Below are 17,068 nucleotides of genomic sequence, written 5' to 3'. Positions count from 1 at the left end.
GCACCTTTATGTTTTCCTTCTGCCAAGAAGTTTTCCAATTTCTTTCTTTCTTTATTTTTTTTACATCTTTAATAAACTTTTCATTTTAGGATAGCTTTAGAGTTACAGAAAAGTTGCAAAGATAGTACAGAGCATTCCCATCTACCCTACAATCAATTTCCCCTACTGTTGGCATATTACTTTAGTATGGTACATTTGTCACAACTAATAAACCAATATTTATCCATTATTATCTTTAACTAAAGTCCACACATTATTCAAATTTCTGTAGTTTTTATTTAACATACTTTTTCTTTCTAGGATCCCACCTAACCTTTAGTTCTCCTGCCTCCTTAAGCTCCTCTTGGCTGGCTGTTTTCTCAGACTTTTCTTATTTTTGCTGGCCTTGACAGTTTTGAGGAACACTGGTCATGTATTTGGTAGAACGTCCCTCAGTTTGGGTTGGCGTATGTTTTTCTCATGATTAAACTGGGGTTATAAGTTTTTGAGGGAAGACCAAAGATGTGAGGGAGCATTCTCACTTCACATGGACAGCATGTACTATTCATATGACTTATCACTGGCCACCTGGCCCAAGGTAGTGTTTGTTAGGTTCTCTGCTGCAAAGTTACCTCTTTTCCTCCTTTCCATACTGTCTTCTTTCCAAGGAAGTCACTATGTTGAGTCCACACTTAATAGGGTAGAAAGTTATCCTCCACCTTCCTATGAGGGGAGTATCGATATAAATTACTTGAAATTCTTCTGCACAGGATATTTGTCTATTTTCTCCAATTTTTATTTTATTTTATTATTTTATTTATTTATTTATTTTTTTGGAGATGGAGTCTTGCTCTGTCACCCAGGCTGGAGTGCAGTGGCGCCATCTCAGCTCACTGCAACCTCTGCCTCCTGGGTTCCAGCGATTCTCCTGCCTCAGCCTCCCAAGTACCTGGGATTACAGGCACGCCCCACCATGCCCAGCTAATTTTTTGTATTTTTGGTAGAGACGGGGTTTCACCATGTTGGCCAGGATGGTCTTGAACTCCTGACCTCAGGTGATCCCCCCGCCTTGGCCTCCCAAAATGCTGGGATTACAGGCGTGAGCCACTGCACCTGGCCCCAATTTTTAAATTTATTCAGTCATTTATTTATACCCTCATCATTGTAGTTTTTTTGTTATTTGTTTGTTTGTAGCACTTCCATACTTTCTCCTTACCTTCTTTTTATTCTTGATTTCCCCCAATCCTCTAGACCTAGTATAGGTTCATTGTTATTTATTTTATACTTTGGATTATAATCTAACATACTGCATTCTGTAATATTTTGCTTAAGTCTTTCCAGCTTTGGCCCTTGGGAGCTCTTTCACTTGGCTCCCATGTCCCTTGAAATAACCTCGTCATTGTGGCTTTGCTGTTTGTGCTTGTTTTAAGCACTTCCTTACTTTCTGGTTCCCTTATTTCTTTTTAGTCTTAATTTCACCTAACCCTTGAGACCTGGTTTATCAAGTAGTCTTCCTGACTCTTCTCATTCAAATGAATCTCTACCAATTTCACATACCCTACTGGTTAACAGTTTTGCCATCATTTCAGCCATTGTTGTTTCTGTCTCCAACTAATATATGAGCTTCTTAAATCAAAGAAAATGTTTATGCCTTTTAAAATATCAATCAGAGAACTTTAAGAGCCTAAGATATGTGTCATACCAGTAAGAAAAATAAAATATACATTTGACCTCCCTTATTAATAAGAAACCCAGTTTTATTTAACTTTTGAAATGATTGCATGTTGTCTCATCCAAAAGATGTATTTGAAATAATTTAAATTTTAATCACCAGTGCTTTTAATTATTATAGTTGACTACAAAGAAGAATATAATACTACACTGCCACAGTTTATGCCATATGAAGATGGTATTTACAGTGTTATTCAAAAAAAGGTAACATGGTATGAAGCATTAAACATGTGTTCTCAAAGTGGAGGTCACTTGGCAAGCGTTCACAACCAAAATGGCCAGCTCTTTCTGGAAGATATTGTAAAACGTGATGGATTTCCACTATGGGTTGGGCTCTCAAGTCATGATGTAAGTCTTGCTTCGTTTTCCAGAAACTTTTCAAATGTGTTATTTTGAGGGTTAGAAATTTGAGCGTAAAGTATTAACACAAAGTACAACATTAGATGAAGTACTGGGACTCCGCTTGCATAGCATGGTGCTTTCTTACCTTTTACAACACAGAACAAATAGAAAATTTTACTGTAGCATGCACTAGGACAAATGATCAGGCCATCCCAAGGGCCCAGTGGATGACTATCTCAACAACACCTCTATAGCCTATTTGGGACAGACAAATTGGAAAGCTGATAAAAATGAAATAGCATAGAATCAGAAAACCCTGAGTTTGAGTACCAGTAGCAGATCTTCCATTTATGTGCTGGGTGATCATTAACCTTTGCAACCTTATTTCCTCATGTAGAAAATCAGGGTAATAATAATTTCACTGAGATTTTAACACAAAAGTTTATACAAAGTACCATCTAAAATTCTCCACATGGTTAGGACTAATAAACGTATACCTTCTTCCCACTTTTCCTCTAGAAAATTATACTACTTAGGATTAATTCTGCTAGTAAAGACATCTGTGCCACTATTTGAATCATATTATTTAATCATTTATGTACTTACAGTAGGGTCTTGTGTACAAAAAATGGTTATCTATTGAGACTAGAGTTGTAGTTTTAATTTAAATAATCTTTAGAACAGAGTGGGGAAGATTTTTTTTTAAAAGCATGGCAAGTTAAGATTATAAATTCAAGGAAAATTCAAAAATAGTCTTCCCATTTTGAGTTTCTTGGGAAGTGTTTCTCTTTTCTAGCTCCCTACTGCTTGGTGTCCTCTGTAGTGTGAAAAATGTAGCCAGAGACACAAAACACAAAACTATAAAACACAGAAAACAATATTCAGAACAATATGAAGGTTGGGATTGTAAATTTGTAATTATGACAAATGGAAGCCATTTGCATGTTGTTTAATTTCGAGTGTCACATAAACTCATCCTTCAAAAAAATCTGAAGACCAGGTGTAGTAACTCTGTCTGTAAGTTTAAAGTTCTCCATAAACTGTATCAGAGCAAATGTCCCAAATCAATGCATCAGAAGTAAATCAGACCTACAATAATAGTAGGTTCAGACCTACAATACTGTAAGCAAATAATTAATATTCCATTATAATATTTCTTAAAGTATGTATGTTGTTCTTTGTATTCTTTTTGAAGTCAAACATCTGGATTCAGGTTATCTCTATTGTTCTTACAACAGGGAAGTGAATCAAGTTTTGAATGGTCTGATGGTAGTACATTTGACTATATCCCATGGAAAGGCCAAACATCTCCTGGAAATTGTGTTCTCTTGGATCCAAAAGGAACTTGGAAACATGAAAAATGCAACTCTGTTAAGGATGGTGCTATTTGTTATAAACCTACAAAATGTAAGACTTCAATTTCAGTAACAGTACATTTATGAAAATGTGACATAATTTATGCACATAATTAAAAGCTCAGTGGAATTTTTATTTAAAGATTTATTCACAAGGGCCGGGCGCAGTGGCTCGCGCCTGTAATCCCAGCACTTTGGGAGGCCGAGGCGTGCGGATCACGAGGTCAGGAGATGGAGATCATCCTGGCTAACAAGGTGAAACCCCTTCTCTACTAAAAATGCAAAAAAAATAGCTGGGCATGGTGGCGGGCGCCTGTAGTCCCAGCTAGTCAGGAGGCTGAGGCGGGAGAATGGCGTGAACCCGGGAGGCGGAGCTTGCAGTGAGCCGAGATTGCGCCACTGCAGTCCAGCCTGGGAGACAGAGCAAGACTCCGTCTCAAAAAAAAAAAAAAAAAAAAAGATGTATTCACAAATAATTTTTGTGAAAATAATTTTGATACTTTGTAAATGGAAACAAATACAGTATAAGCACTCAGGGAATTTATTCCCAATGACTTTCATTTGTTCTGTCACCAGGTAAATTCTACCCTAGAATTTGTGAATTCTAATTTCACTTAGCAATGTTTTTCAAAGGCTGAGATGCTTATTTCAAAAAAGGGTCCCACAACATATAAATTTGGGGAACACCTCATGTGATTTACCGTATTAAAGTTTCTAAGAGAGTTTCTTTTCTTTTCTTTTCTTTTCCTTTCTTTTCTTTTCTTTTTTCTTTTCTTATCTTTTCTTTTTCTTTTTTTTTTTTTGACAGGGTTTCAGCTCTGTTGCCCAGACTGGAGTGCAGTGGCATGAACATGGCTCACTGCAGCCTTGACCTCCTAGGCTCAAGCAGTCCTCCCAACTCAGCCTCCTGAGTAGCTGGGACCACATACACATGCCACCACACCCAGCTAATATTTAAAATATTTTGTAGAGTTAGGGTCTCACAATGCTGTTCAAGCTGGTCTTGAACTAGGATCCTAGGCTCAAACAATCCTCCTGTTTCAGCCTCCCAAAGTGCTGAGAGTATAGGTGTGAGCTACTACGCCTGGCCAAAGGTTCTAAGAGAGTTTCTGTAATAATGAAGTCTGTTTAACTTTGTGTAACCAAGCATTTTCCAAATTTATATGATCCTTAAAGTTTAAGGGAAGAGCCTCTTCCATTAGAGGCTGGACTTAGGGTCACCCCTGGTGGATAAAGCATGAACCTTGAGGAAGACCACAAAAAAACAAACTACCGGGGACTGCAGAGGCCTGCAGGACAGGCTGGGGGGTGGTGGCATTGGTTTCCGAAGACTCTGGTTCTCAATGCTCACCATGTTTTCTGCTCTGAAGAATCTTGAACGGCAGATTCAACATTTGGTTGAACAGATTCAGGCCGAAGAAAATGTGAAAACTTTAGAGAAGCAGGTTAATAAAAGAAAGGGAGAATGATATAAAGGATGAGGAATCAAGGTACAATCAAGAACTGACTTCTCAGTTGTTAGGCACAGAAAACAAATGTAACTCTTTAGAAAAACAATTGGAATACATGAGAAATAAGGCATGCAGAAATAGAGAAACAGGCTTTATAGGATAGAGAATGATAAGATGGCCAGACATAAGTTCTGTGCTCTACCAGGTTGAAGAGTGCCTCCTCCCCAAAGATTCCCGTCCAGTCAGAACCTTAGAATGTGACTTTACTGAGAAATAGTCTTTACAGATCTAGGTAGTTGAGGTGAGGACATATTGGATAATGGTGGGCCCTAAATCCAATGACTAGTGTCCTTATAAGAGGGAGATACAGACACACAGAGGGAAAAAGTCCACGTGATGACAAAGGCTGAGATTGCAGTGACAGAGTGATAAACCAAGGACTGTCGGCAACCACCAGAAGATGAGAGGGAGGCACGAGACAGATTCTCCAATACAGCCTCCAATGAAAACCAATCCTAACACCCTCTTCAATTCAGACTTCTAGCCTCCAGAACTGTGAGAGCATACATTTCTGTTGTTTTAAGCCACCAATTTTGTGGAATTTATTATGGCAGCCCAAGGAAACGAATACAAGGGCTAACTTTAAAAACTGGATCTTCAAAAAAAAAAAAAACAAAACAGAGAATAACAGGCATTAGTGAAGATGTGGAGAAAATGGAACCCTTATGCACTGCTGGTAGGAATATAAAACAGTGTAACCACTGTGCAAAATGGTGTGGCAATTCTTCAAAAACATGTACATAAGATTACTATGTGATCCAGCACTTCAGGTATATACTCAAAACAACTGAAAGCAGGGATTCAAACAGGTGTTTGTACAACCATGTCATAGCAGCATAATTCATAATAGCCAAAAGATGAAAGCAACCCAAGTGTCCATGGATGGACGAATGGATAAGAAGCCTTAAAAAGGAAGGAAATGCTGATGCATGCTGCAACACAGATGAACCCTGAAGACAGTATGCTAAGTGAAATAAGCCAGTCACAAAAAGACAAATACTCTATGATTCCATTTATATGAGGTAGTACCCAGAGTTGTCAAATTCATAGAGACAGGAAGTGGAATGGCAGTTACCAGGGACTAGATGGAGGGGAATATGGGGAGTTATTGTTTAGTGGGTATAGAGTTTCAGTTTTGCAAGATAAAAAATTTTAGAGATGGGTGGTGGTGATAGTTGTACAACAGAGTGAATTCATTTAGCACCACGGGACTGTACACTTAAAAATGGTTAAGGCCAGATGTGGTGGTTCATGCTTGTAATCTCAGCACTTTGGGGGGCTGAGACAGGTGGGTGGCTTGAGCCCAGGAGTTCAAGACCAGCCTGGGCAACACAGTAAGACTCCGTCTCTACAAAAACGTGTAAAAATTAGCTGGACACAGTAGTACATGCCTGTAATCCCAGCTACTTGGGAAACTGAGGCAGGAGGATCTATTGCACCCAAGAGTTTGAGACTGCAGTGAGCTATGATTGCACTACTGCATTCCAACCTGGGTGACAGAATAAGACCCTGTCTCTAAAAACAAAACAAAACCAAAATGGTTAAGATGGTAAATTTTATGTTATGTGTATTTTACCACAATTAAAAAAAATGGATCTTCTTGAACAGGAATGTAACACACTTACCACGATGCAAGCCCTTACAGAAAAAAAAAAAAAAAGAGTTGGAAGCAAAACTTCATGAAGAACAAGAAGAAAAAAAAATGTACGCAGCCTAAGAGACCCCAGTTGCAGACTATACTAGAAACAAATAGACCAAAGATAAGGCAGTTCCTTATGTTGCCAGTGCAAGAAGTAATGTTAAAAAAAAAAAGGTCAAACCATTCAGAAAAGTTCCCTATCCTAATGATGCCATAATAATCAATGTTCAACAAGTTTTGCATTAACAATTGAGCCCAGTGCAACAATGAGTAATCAGCAATATACCTTTGCCCAACCAACTATTTTCATAAGGTGGTAAAAACAAGAACTTACTAGTAACATTTCTTTTCAACAGCAGCATTGATGAGGAGTTGTGAGAAGTTTTATAGATTGTATAGATGAATTTGGCAAATGCATTTTGATCTGCAGCAGCTGGGAAACTTACCCAGGAGTCCAACTGCTGAACTGAAGACTTAGTACTCAAATTGGTGTGTTAGTGAGAAGAATGGAGGCAAAAGCCAATCAAATAACCGAAGTTCAAAAAGATCAAGTCTGGTTTCTAACAGAAGATAGAGAAGCAGCAGAAGGAACTAAGGGCCACTAAAGAGTCTCACAGTAGCCGCCATTCCTCTCTAATCACAGAGACCACAAATAAGGACTCTGCCAAGTGGAGATTTGGAGAAAAAAACAGAAAAAGCCTTTACTTACTGAAGGACATAAAGATCATACAGAATGCATTACAAAACAATAGTTTGGGTTGAGATTACTGACTGGTACCAGGTCAGATATTTGATTCAGATAAGCTGTACCGCACTAATACGACATTGACAATTTACTTTCCAGTTTTCATATGCTCTTCGGTTGGAATTAAAAACAGGTGTTAAAGGGCACAAGCTGCATTCCTCAGGCTGCTTCTGTTACTCAGCACAATTAAAAATCAATTTAAATGGAAACCAGGGGCATTTTTAAGAGCTAAGAAGCCACTCCTAGTCTTTTTTTGTTTGAGTGATGTTGCGGTGCTGATGTATTATGCTTTGTAAAACAAATTAGCTATTTTTAAAAAATAGTTCTTCTTATGACTAAGTAAAACTAGATTTATTTAGATTATCAAAATAAAAAGGAATCCAACGGGCTAGGCGCTGTGGGGTCACGCCTGTAATCCCAGCACTTTGGGAGCCTGAGGCAGGCAAATCACTTGAGGTGAGGAGTTTGAAACCAGCCTGGCCAGCATGGTGAAACTTCGTCTCTACTAAAAAAAATAATAATAAACAAAAAAAGGAATCCAAAGAAAGAAATAATTTTAATTATTATTTCAGAGTACTTTCAGGTCTGCCTGGCCTGTCTTTACTTCTTTTTCTAGTCTGTCTTTCTCATTGTTTCTACTTTAGTCCAAATCAGTCTTAGAAAGCTAAGGCACTTTCCACTTCTATCACCTAGGTTTTTTAAACGGTATTCCAAAAAGTTAATTAAAATATGTATTTATAGAGTGTGGGCTGTGGCTTTCTCTGGTATGAGTTAAATGCTACTCAACCACAAACGCAACAGTTCCAATCAGGGACATTGAAGTAGATTTTGAAAGGCAGTCTTTTTTTTCCATGCATTGTTACAACTGTGTCTAACATTTTTATAGCTAAAAAGCTGTCCCGTCTTACATATTCATCAAGATGTCCAGCAGCAAAAGAGAATGGGTCACGGTGGATCCAGTACAAGGGTCACTGTTACAAGTCTGATCAGGCATTGCACAGTTTTTCAGAGGCCAAAAAATTGTGTTCAAAACATGGTGAGTTAAAATTTGTTGATTTTCTTATGACTCAATAATTTTTAGAAATGTTTCTTAAGGATATAATTTGAAGCAATGATTGTATTTTTGAAAATATTTTTAAAGCACTTTCCATTTCTAATAGCGCTATAAACTAATTGCCCAGTGGTAGGGAAATGGTTAAGTATCTGATGACATAGGAACTCAATGAAATATTGGAATAGCCATTAAAAACGCCTGTAATCCCAGCACTTTGGGAGGCCAAGGCGGGCAGATCATGAGGTCAAGAGATCAAGACCATCCTGGCCAACATGGTGAAACCCTATCTCTACTAAAAATACAAAAATTAGCTGGGTGTGGTCGCACACACCTGTAGTCCCAGCTACTCGGGAGGCTGAGGCAGGAGAATCGCTTGAACCCAGGAGGCGGAGGTTGCAGTGAGCTGAGATGGCACCACTGCACTCCAGCCTGGGTGACAGAGCAAGACTCTATCTCAAAAAAAAATTATCAATGTTAATAATAAGTACATGGAAAATAATAAGTTGGAAGAAGTAGAATTTTAAAGTGGTGGCTGGGTGCGGTGGCTCACGCCTATAATCCCAGCACTTTGGGAGGCCGAGGTGGGAGGATCACTTGAGGTTAGCCATTAAAGACTAGCGTGACCAACATGGCGAGCCCTCGTCTCTACTAAAAATACAAAACTTAGCTGGGCGTGGTGGCGTGCACCTGTAATCCCAGCTACTTGGGAAGCTGAGGCAGGAGAATCACATGAACCAGGGAGGTGGAGGTTGCAGTGAGCCAAGACTGTGCCACTGCGCTCCAGCCTGGGCGACAGAGCAAGACTCCATCTCAAAAATAAATAAATAAATAAAATAAATAATAAAAATAATAATAAATGTAAAATAATAAAATAAAAGTGGCTAAGTGAACTGCTAAGTAAAAATACTGACAAATGATTGGAAACGGTTTTACCTATAGCTAGATATGCTTAGAAAAAGGAATTAAGAGGTAAAATTTTTGTAAAGTTAGCTAAGTAGTAAATAAAAATTATAGTTGTTCCATTGCTTAGTTATTAATACATAAGCTTAGCCTCACCAGGGTAACAAATCAAAGTAGTATGGTTGTCCATCCGTTCTGCAATAGGATTGGCCACATCCTCTGACCACCATAAAGGGCAGTGCTTTTTGCCTTCAGATTTAGCTATTTTAGAAAGAGTAGCAATGATTGGCTCTTTCCCGTGACAAATTTGATCCATAGTCAAACTGTAAAATGACTTCTAGGGGAACTACCTAGAGTATTTCAAAGACCAAAACTTGTTTACCTGCTTCCTTGGGTAGCAAATTAGCCAGGTAGATGGATGGCATTTATCTAATTTATTCTGATAACCGTTGTGGAGACACTTGACTGATTGAAAAATCTTGTAGTTACCGGGAACTTTTGTGTGGGAACCATTCGGTTTTATACCTGAATACACATGATGGAAACTGTTGTAAGATATATGTATGTTTTGAAAGTCATAAACCTTTTTCTCCTAAAGGAGAAAACAGAATGGTTTACTGTAAAACTAATATGTAGGTTAAGCACTTAAGACTTGGAGGCATGAGGGTCTGGGTTCAAATCCCAGTTCCCACATATCCTAGCTAAGTGGCATTGGGAGGTTACACAACTCTTTCTCTTTTCTCATCTGAACAGTCAGAGAGGTCTCAGGGGTAGGCAGTTCCAGGGCCAAAAAAATATTGCCAGATAAATATTTTGAAGAAACACAAAATTTCTTTATACGTGTTTGGAAGTAATTTTTTTGAAGTACTTATAAAATTTTGACCTAAATACCAGTTTTTAAAAACTGTCTCTGTGTAAGGCTTGAATTTATCAATGATCTTGTTAATAATATATGTATTTTTCAAATGGCTAGTTGAGAATAAACTACTTCTCTAGTTTCCATAAAGCTAATTGAGAATGTGTTTTCTTTCAACAGATCACTCTGCAACTATCGTTTCCATAAAAGATGAAGATGAGAATAAATTTGTGAGCAGACTGATGAGGGAAAATAATAACATTACCATGAGAGTTTGGCTTGGATTATCTCAACATTCTGTTGGTAAGTGAAATAATTGTATGTGTAGTGTGCAAAGAGAGTTCTAACTCATCCTAAATAACAAGTCGTCCTTGCTAAAGAATGTTAAGTAGTGGCTAATTCAGATGCCTCTTCTGGATAAATAAGCTAGGTCGCTGGCTGTTCTGGATGGTTATAAATTTTGAATGAATCCATGAGTTAACTTAGCAATGACGGAAACCACTAATGACACAGAAAATCCTGTTAAATAAAGTGGAATCTTTCTAGAGGCTTATTTCTGGGATCCTTGGATCAACATCAGGACATTTTCTTCTCCACAGGAATGTCTGTGTCCCCACAAGGAACCCATGCCTGCCTTCTCTTAGAGTTCTAGTGCCTGTCACCGCATGGATTTGCAGCTTATAACTTCGTTATTCAGAAAGTTATCTTCTTGTTATTCCCTTCTCTCTAAGAATATTTTTACCACTGGTTAAAATTATGTCTTAATAGTAATCTTTAAAAACTGTCTTAGTGTTAGGTTGGTGTGAAAGTAATTGCAGCTTTTGCCATTACTTTTGCGCCAACCTATAAAATTGCAGATAATTGATTCAAAGAAAATTTGTGGAAGGATTTTTTAATACGAAATAGTAGATACAGGGTTTAGGTGAACTTGGAATTGGTAGAAATAAGAGTACAAATATGACAGAAGATAAGGTTTTTCACATTTTATGCAAAGTTGAATTTTAAATTATTAAAATGTGAATTTTAAAATGTTAAGTACTTGTCAAAAAATAAAAGGATTCCAAGTTGTCCATCTAAATGAATCCTAAATCGTGTTTACACTGTCACCACAAGGTGGTGCCACTTCAGCTGGAAAGCAAAAATGGAGTCCTGGTGGTGGTGTGGGAGAAAGGTGGGGATGGAGATTCCTGCACCCTTCCTCTTCCACCAGCATATCTTTAATGATATGACTTTTTACAATTAGAGTAGGGGAAGGATATGGGTCCTTAGAAATCTCTCCCTCACAAAATAAATGTGCAAGCATTCTGCACTTTAACGGAAACACCACATTCTCTATCTGTGTTGTCCAATAGAACTTTCTACAAAGACAGAAATGTTCTATATCTGCACTGTCCAATATAGTAGTCACTGGCCACATGTGGCTCTTGAGCACTTGAAATGTGACTAGTGCAACTGAAGAACTGATTTTATTTTTTTCATTTTTAATGCATTTTATTTTAACAAGTGGCTCTCATATTGGACAGCACAGTTCTGATGAGTTACATGAACCCATGCTTGTAACTTACTAGTTTAGTGGCAGTAGACATAGTTGTATTTAATTTCTTTCTTCAGACCAGTCTTGGAGTTGGTTAGATGGATCAGAAGTGACATTTGTCAAATGGGAAAATAAAAGTAAGAGTGGTGTTGGAAGATGTAGCATGTTGATAGCTTCAAATGAAACTTGGAAAAAAGTTGAATGTGAACATGGTTTTGGAAGAGTTGTCTGCAAAGTGCCTCTGGGTAAGTATGGAACCTGTCCTTAGGAGACTTTTTGCAGAACAGTCAGGAAATAAATGTACAATCCAATTATGTACAAAATTCTGTATTTAGTCTTGAAGTATTTAGTCCTTAAAGTATATCCAACTATCTTGATTAAGTCATAGAGATTTCCCCCTGAAAAATAGATTACAAGGGACGATAACTGCACAAGATGTCCAGGACTCCAGTCTACATTTTATATAATTCTTTCCTAAGAAAAACAGAAGTTGCCAGGGTATTAGGGAAGTAATTTCTTTTAAAATGTTCTTGAGATGTATTTTATTCTATAGTTTGATTATATAAAAGCTTAAAGGTCTATTTCTGCAGTTAATTTGCTTCCTTTCTTCCTAATCCCATAAAACTCATGGTTAATTTTAAAACAATGCAAAACTGGATTTAGTTATTGAAAACATTCAGGGTATCTATAAAAAATCATAATTTGAACTTACATTTCATTATGAATTGATACATAAAATTACCATTAAAATGTTATATTAACTTCATTTCTGGAGAAAGAGCTCCAAATTTTTCACAGTAACATTTTTAAAGATCTTGCATAAAACTTTTGCTTCTTGTATATAAATATTAAAGATAAAACCTCAATTCTAGGTAATCAGTATCCATGTATACACACACTGAGACAGTAAATAGAGTGTCTACTATATGCCATGCCCTGTTTTGCACACTGGGATGCACCTGAGAACAAGACAGATAAGGTACCTGTTCTCACAGAGATTACAATCTGGTGAAGAAAGATAAGTAAACAGGTCAATTTTTTAAAGAGAGGAAAATATCAAATAGTTATAAACTCTATGTGATGGAGACTCAGTGGATAGCTACTCTAGATTAGGAAACCAGGGAAGAAGCCTAGAAGCAGGAGACACCGAAGCTAAGATCTAAAAAATCAAGCCAAGCAAACTTCAAGGGAAAGGGCATAACAGACAGAGGTACCAGTTGGAGCAAAGAGCCTAAGGCAGAACAAGTTGGCTGAGCGCTCAGGGAAGAACTGAAAGGTAGGCAGGTGCTAGACATACAGAGCTTTGGAAGCAAGGCTTGAGTTCTGGTTTTATTCTGAGTGGAATGGAAAGCAACTGGAAGATTTGGGGGGTTGGGTGGGAGCAGAGTTAGGGTGTTGCAAATCAAAAGTTCTACGTTGGCCATTTTGAGTTATCCATAGAGGGACGAGATGTGTAGTGTGCATAGCAATGGTATTTAAAGTCATGGAACAGAGCGAATCCATCTGGGCAGTATGCAGATAAGGGTCTTGGAACAGCAGCTGCACTAAATGAACTCATCTGAGAGACTTAAATCATTTTGAAGCAAATAACACTTTATTTAGCCCCAGGTAAGTCAAAAACAAAAATTTATAGCTTTTAGCAATTTGCTATCAAAGTAGGATAATATACAAGTAGTGATGTTCCCAAATTGGTGTTAGGAAGGGGGAATGTGAGAATAATCATAGCGCATTAATGTCTTTGGAAGAAAATTCCTATCACAATGAAGAGGATTTGAATGAATAGGAAAACACTTACATTTGAAAAGAAATCACTTAAGTGTTTCTTTTGATCTGACGATGAGTTTGAATTCTATGTTAGCGCTATGAAACAATCAGATTTATTATGTCTGTATACAGCTTACAGGTTTACATGTGTGACACAACCCATAATGTATAAAATCAATAATGATCACTTTTGTATTCTCTCCTCCAACATCAAACCTTTTCCTGTTCCAGGCCCTGATTACACAGCAATAGCTATCATAGTTGCCACACTAAGTATCTTAGTTCTCATGGGCGGACTGATTTGGTTCCTCTTCCAAAGGCACCGTTTGCACCTGGCGGGTTTCTCATCAGTTCGATATGCACAAGGAGTGAATGAAGATGAGATTATGCTTCCTTCTTTCCATGACTAAATTCTTCTAAAAGTTTTCTAATTTGCACTAATGTGTTATGAGAAATTAGTCACTTAAAATGTCCCAGTGTCAGTATTTACTCTGCTCCAAAGTAGAACTCTTAAATACTTTTTCAGTTGTTTAGATCTTAGGCATGTGCTGGTATCCACAGTTAATTCCCTGCTAAATGCCATGTTTATCACCCTAATTAATAGAATGGAGGGGACTCCAAAGCTGGAACTGAAGTCCAAATTGTTTGTACAGTAATATGTTTAATGTTCATTTTCTCTGTATGAATGTGATTGGTAACTAGGATATGTATATTTTAATAGAATTTTTAACAAAACTTCTTAGAAAATTAAAATAGGCATATTACTAGGTGACATGTCTACTTTTTAATTTTTAAGAGCATCCGGCCAAATGCAAAATTAGTACCTCAAAGTAAAAATTGAACTGTAAACTCTATCAGCATTGTTTCAAAATAGTCATTTTTAGCACTGGGGAAAAATAAACAATAAGACATGCTTACTTTTTAATTTTTATTTTTTTGAGACTGAGTCTCTCTCTGTTGCCCAGGCTGGAGTACAATGGCGTGATCTCGGCTCACTGCAAATCTCCGCCTCCCAGGTTCAAGCGATTCTCCTGCCTCAGCCTCCTGAGTAGCTGGGATTACAGGCAACTGCCACCATGCCCGGCTAATTTTTGTATTTTTAGTAGAGATGGGGTTTCACCATGTTGGCCAGGCTGGTCTCGAACTCGTGACCGCAGGTGATCCTCCCGCCTCGGCCTCCCAAAGTGCTGGGATTACAGGCATGAGCCACCGCGCCTGGCCTCTGCTTACTTTTTATATAGCAAAATGATTCCTCTTGGCAAGATGTTTCTTATATTATTCCAAAGTTATTTCATACCATTATTATGTAAATATGAAGAGTTTTTTTCTGTTTATAATTGTTTATAAAACAATGACTTTTAAAGATTTAGTGCTTAACATTTTCCCAAGTGTGGGAACATTATTTTTAGATTGAGTAGGTACCTTGTAGCAGTGTGCTTTGCATTTTCTGATGTATTACATGACTGTTTCTTTTGTAAAGAGAATCAACTAGGTATTTAAGACTGATAATTTTACAATTTATATGCTTCACATAGCATGTCAACTTTTGACTAAGAATTTTGTTTTACTTTTTTAACATGTGTTAAACAGAGAAAGGGTCCATGAAGGAAAGTGTATGAGTTGCATTTGTAAAAATGAGACTTTTTCAGTGGAACTCTAAACCTTGTGATGACTACTAACAAATGTAAAATTATGAGTGATTAAGAAAACATTGCTTTGTGGTTATCACTTTAAGTTTTGACACCTAGATTATAGTCTTAGTAATAGCATCCACTGGAAAAGGTGAAAATGTTTTATTCGGCATTTAACTTACATTTGTACTTTATTTTTGTATAAAATCCATAGATTTATTTTACATTTAGAGTATTTACACTATGATAAAGTTGTAAATAATTTTCTAAGACAGTTTTTATATAGTCTACAGTTGTCCTGATTTCTTATTGAATTTGTTAGACTAGTTCTCTTGTCCTGTGATCTGTGTACAATTTTAGTCACTAAGACTTTCCTCCAAGAACTAAGCCAACTTGATGTGAAAAGCACAGCTGTATATAATGGTGATGTCATAATAAAGTTGTTTTATCTTTTAAGTAAAAGTAAAAGTGCTGGAGTTGATCCTTCTTGAAAAAAAAAATCTCTAGATTGGGTTTTTTATGTTAGGCATATAGTACAAGAAATAAATTGACCACCTATTGTAAAGCGAGGCATTTGCTAAGAGATTTTGTGTGCATTTTTTAGAGAATAAATAGGCGGGTAGTGGCTCACACCCGTAATCCCTCTTGACACTTTGGGAGGCCAAGGCAGGGGGATCATTTGAGCCCAGGAATTCAAGTTCAGCATGGGCAACAAAGCAAGACCCCATTTCTAAAAAAAAATAAAATAATTAGCCAGGTGTGGTGGCACCCATGTGTAGTGCCAGCTACTCAAGAAGCCAAGGCAGGAGGATCCCATGAGCCCAGGAGTTTGAGGCTACAGTGAGCTATGAACGTGCCACTGAACTCCAGTCTGGGTGACAGAGCAAGACCCTGTTTTGAAAAACAAGTCGATATTGATCCAATTGCTGAATACTGGAAAGGCAAAGTCAGATAAAACTGGATTCTCGGAATTAGGAAACCAATGACCATCTTAGCCAATGCAAATGTAGCAGAGTAGTGAAGCCAGAATCCAGATGGAAGTGAGTTTAAAAGTGAAAGGGAAGGCCAGGTGTGGCATCTCGTGCCTGTAATCCCAGCACTTTGGGAATCCGAGGTGGGTGGATCACCTGAGGTCAGGAGTTTGAGACCAGCCTGGCCAAATGGTGAAACCCCATCTCTACTAAAAATACAAAAAAAAAAAAAAAAAAAAAAAAAAATTAGCCCGGTGTGGTGGTGCATGCTTGTAATCCCAGCTACTTGGGAAGCTGAGGCGGGAGACTCTCTTGAACCCAGGAGGCAGAGGCTGCAGTGAGCTGAGATCGTACCATTGCATTCCAGCCTGGGTGACAGAGCAAGACTCTGTCTCAAAAAAAAAAAAAAAAAAAAAAAAAAAATTGAAAGGGAAATTAGGAGATGAGGAACATGAGATTTCGAGAAGTATGATGGAGACAGAAAGGAAAGGGGCTGGGCCATAGCCAGAGGGGAAAGAAGGGTTGAAAAAGGGTTTTTTTCTAAAGGGGAGAGAAAGAGGTTCACAAGTTTAGAAGCTGAGATGAAAAAAACAAAAACAAAAACAAAAATAATGGACAGAGAGAAGTTGATGATGCAGTGGGGAGAGGGAATCATTAATGGAAGATCTTGGAGAAGATAAAATGAGAGGGGCAGTCCTAAGCAGAAAGAGGAACTGGTTTGGGTGGGCTGGAGAAGCATGCCTTCCTCTCTGAGACCACAAGAGAAGAACTGCAGATAAGCATTTGAAGATGTTTGTCTATATGTAATGGCACCTGTTTTCTTGTGTACTAGAAGGCAAGGTCTGCTGAGAAAGATGGGTAGCAGATGGGGTCTTTTAAAAAGTTTTTTAATTTTTTAGAGACAGGGTCTGTCTCAGTTGCCCAGGCTGGAATGCAGTGGTGCAACTCTAGCTCACTGCAGTCTCGACCTCCAACATTAACTTTTTTTTTTCCCTAGAGACAGGTGATTTCAATGTTACCTAGGCTGCTCTCAAACTCCTGGGCTCAAGTGATCCT

At 37.8% G+C, this 17,068-nt stretch overlaps 2 protein-coding genes across 3 annotated transcripts in view; both read left to right on the top strand.

Moving 5' to 3' along the window:
• Positions 1-15,509, top strand: part of LY75 (lymphocyte antigen 75) — a 101,402-nt gene extending 85,893 nt beyond the window's left edge. Inside the window, exons 30-35 of the mRNA NM_002349.4 lie at positions 1,832-2,058; positions 3,291-3,459; positions 8,189-8,338; positions 10,293-10,415; positions 11,724-11,891; positions 13,642-15,509. Coding sequence (NP_002340.2) covers positions 1,832-2,058; positions 3,291-3,459; positions 8,189-8,338; positions 10,293-10,415; positions 11,724-11,891; positions 13,642-13,820 — 1,016 coding nt within the window. The 3' untranslated portion in view covers positions 13,821-15,509. The remainder of the gene's footprint in view (positions 1-1,831; positions 2,059-3,290; positions 3,460-8,188; positions 8,339-10,292; positions 10,416-11,723; positions 11,892-13,641) is intronic.
• Positions 1-17,068, top strand: part of LY75-CD302 (LY75-CD302 readthrough) — a 136,129-nt gene that overhangs the window by 85,893 nt on the left and 33,168 nt on the right. The window contains exons 30-34 of one of the 2 annotated variants that reach the window (NM_001198759.1): positions 1,832-2,058; positions 3,291-3,459; positions 8,189-8,338; positions 10,293-10,415; positions 11,724-11,891. In NM_001198759.1, coding sequence (NP_001185688.1) covers positions 1,832-2,058; positions 3,291-3,459; positions 8,189-8,338; positions 10,293-10,415; positions 11,724-11,891 — 837 coding nt within the window. The remainder of the gene's footprint in view (positions 1-1,831; positions 2,059-3,290; positions 3,460-8,188; positions 8,339-10,292; positions 10,416-11,723; positions 11,892-17,068) is intronic. The other variant, NM_001198760.1, reaches the window with a different exon arrangement.

Source organism: Homo sapiens, chromosome 2 (genome assembly GCF_000001405.40).
Source record: "Homo sapiens chromosome 2, GRCh38.p14 Primary Assembly".
Classification (NCBI taxonomy): Eukaryota; Metazoa; Chordata; class Mammalia; order Primates; family Hominidae; genus Homo; species Homo sapiens.
This window is presented reverse-complemented; position numbering and strand designations above follow the sequence as displayed.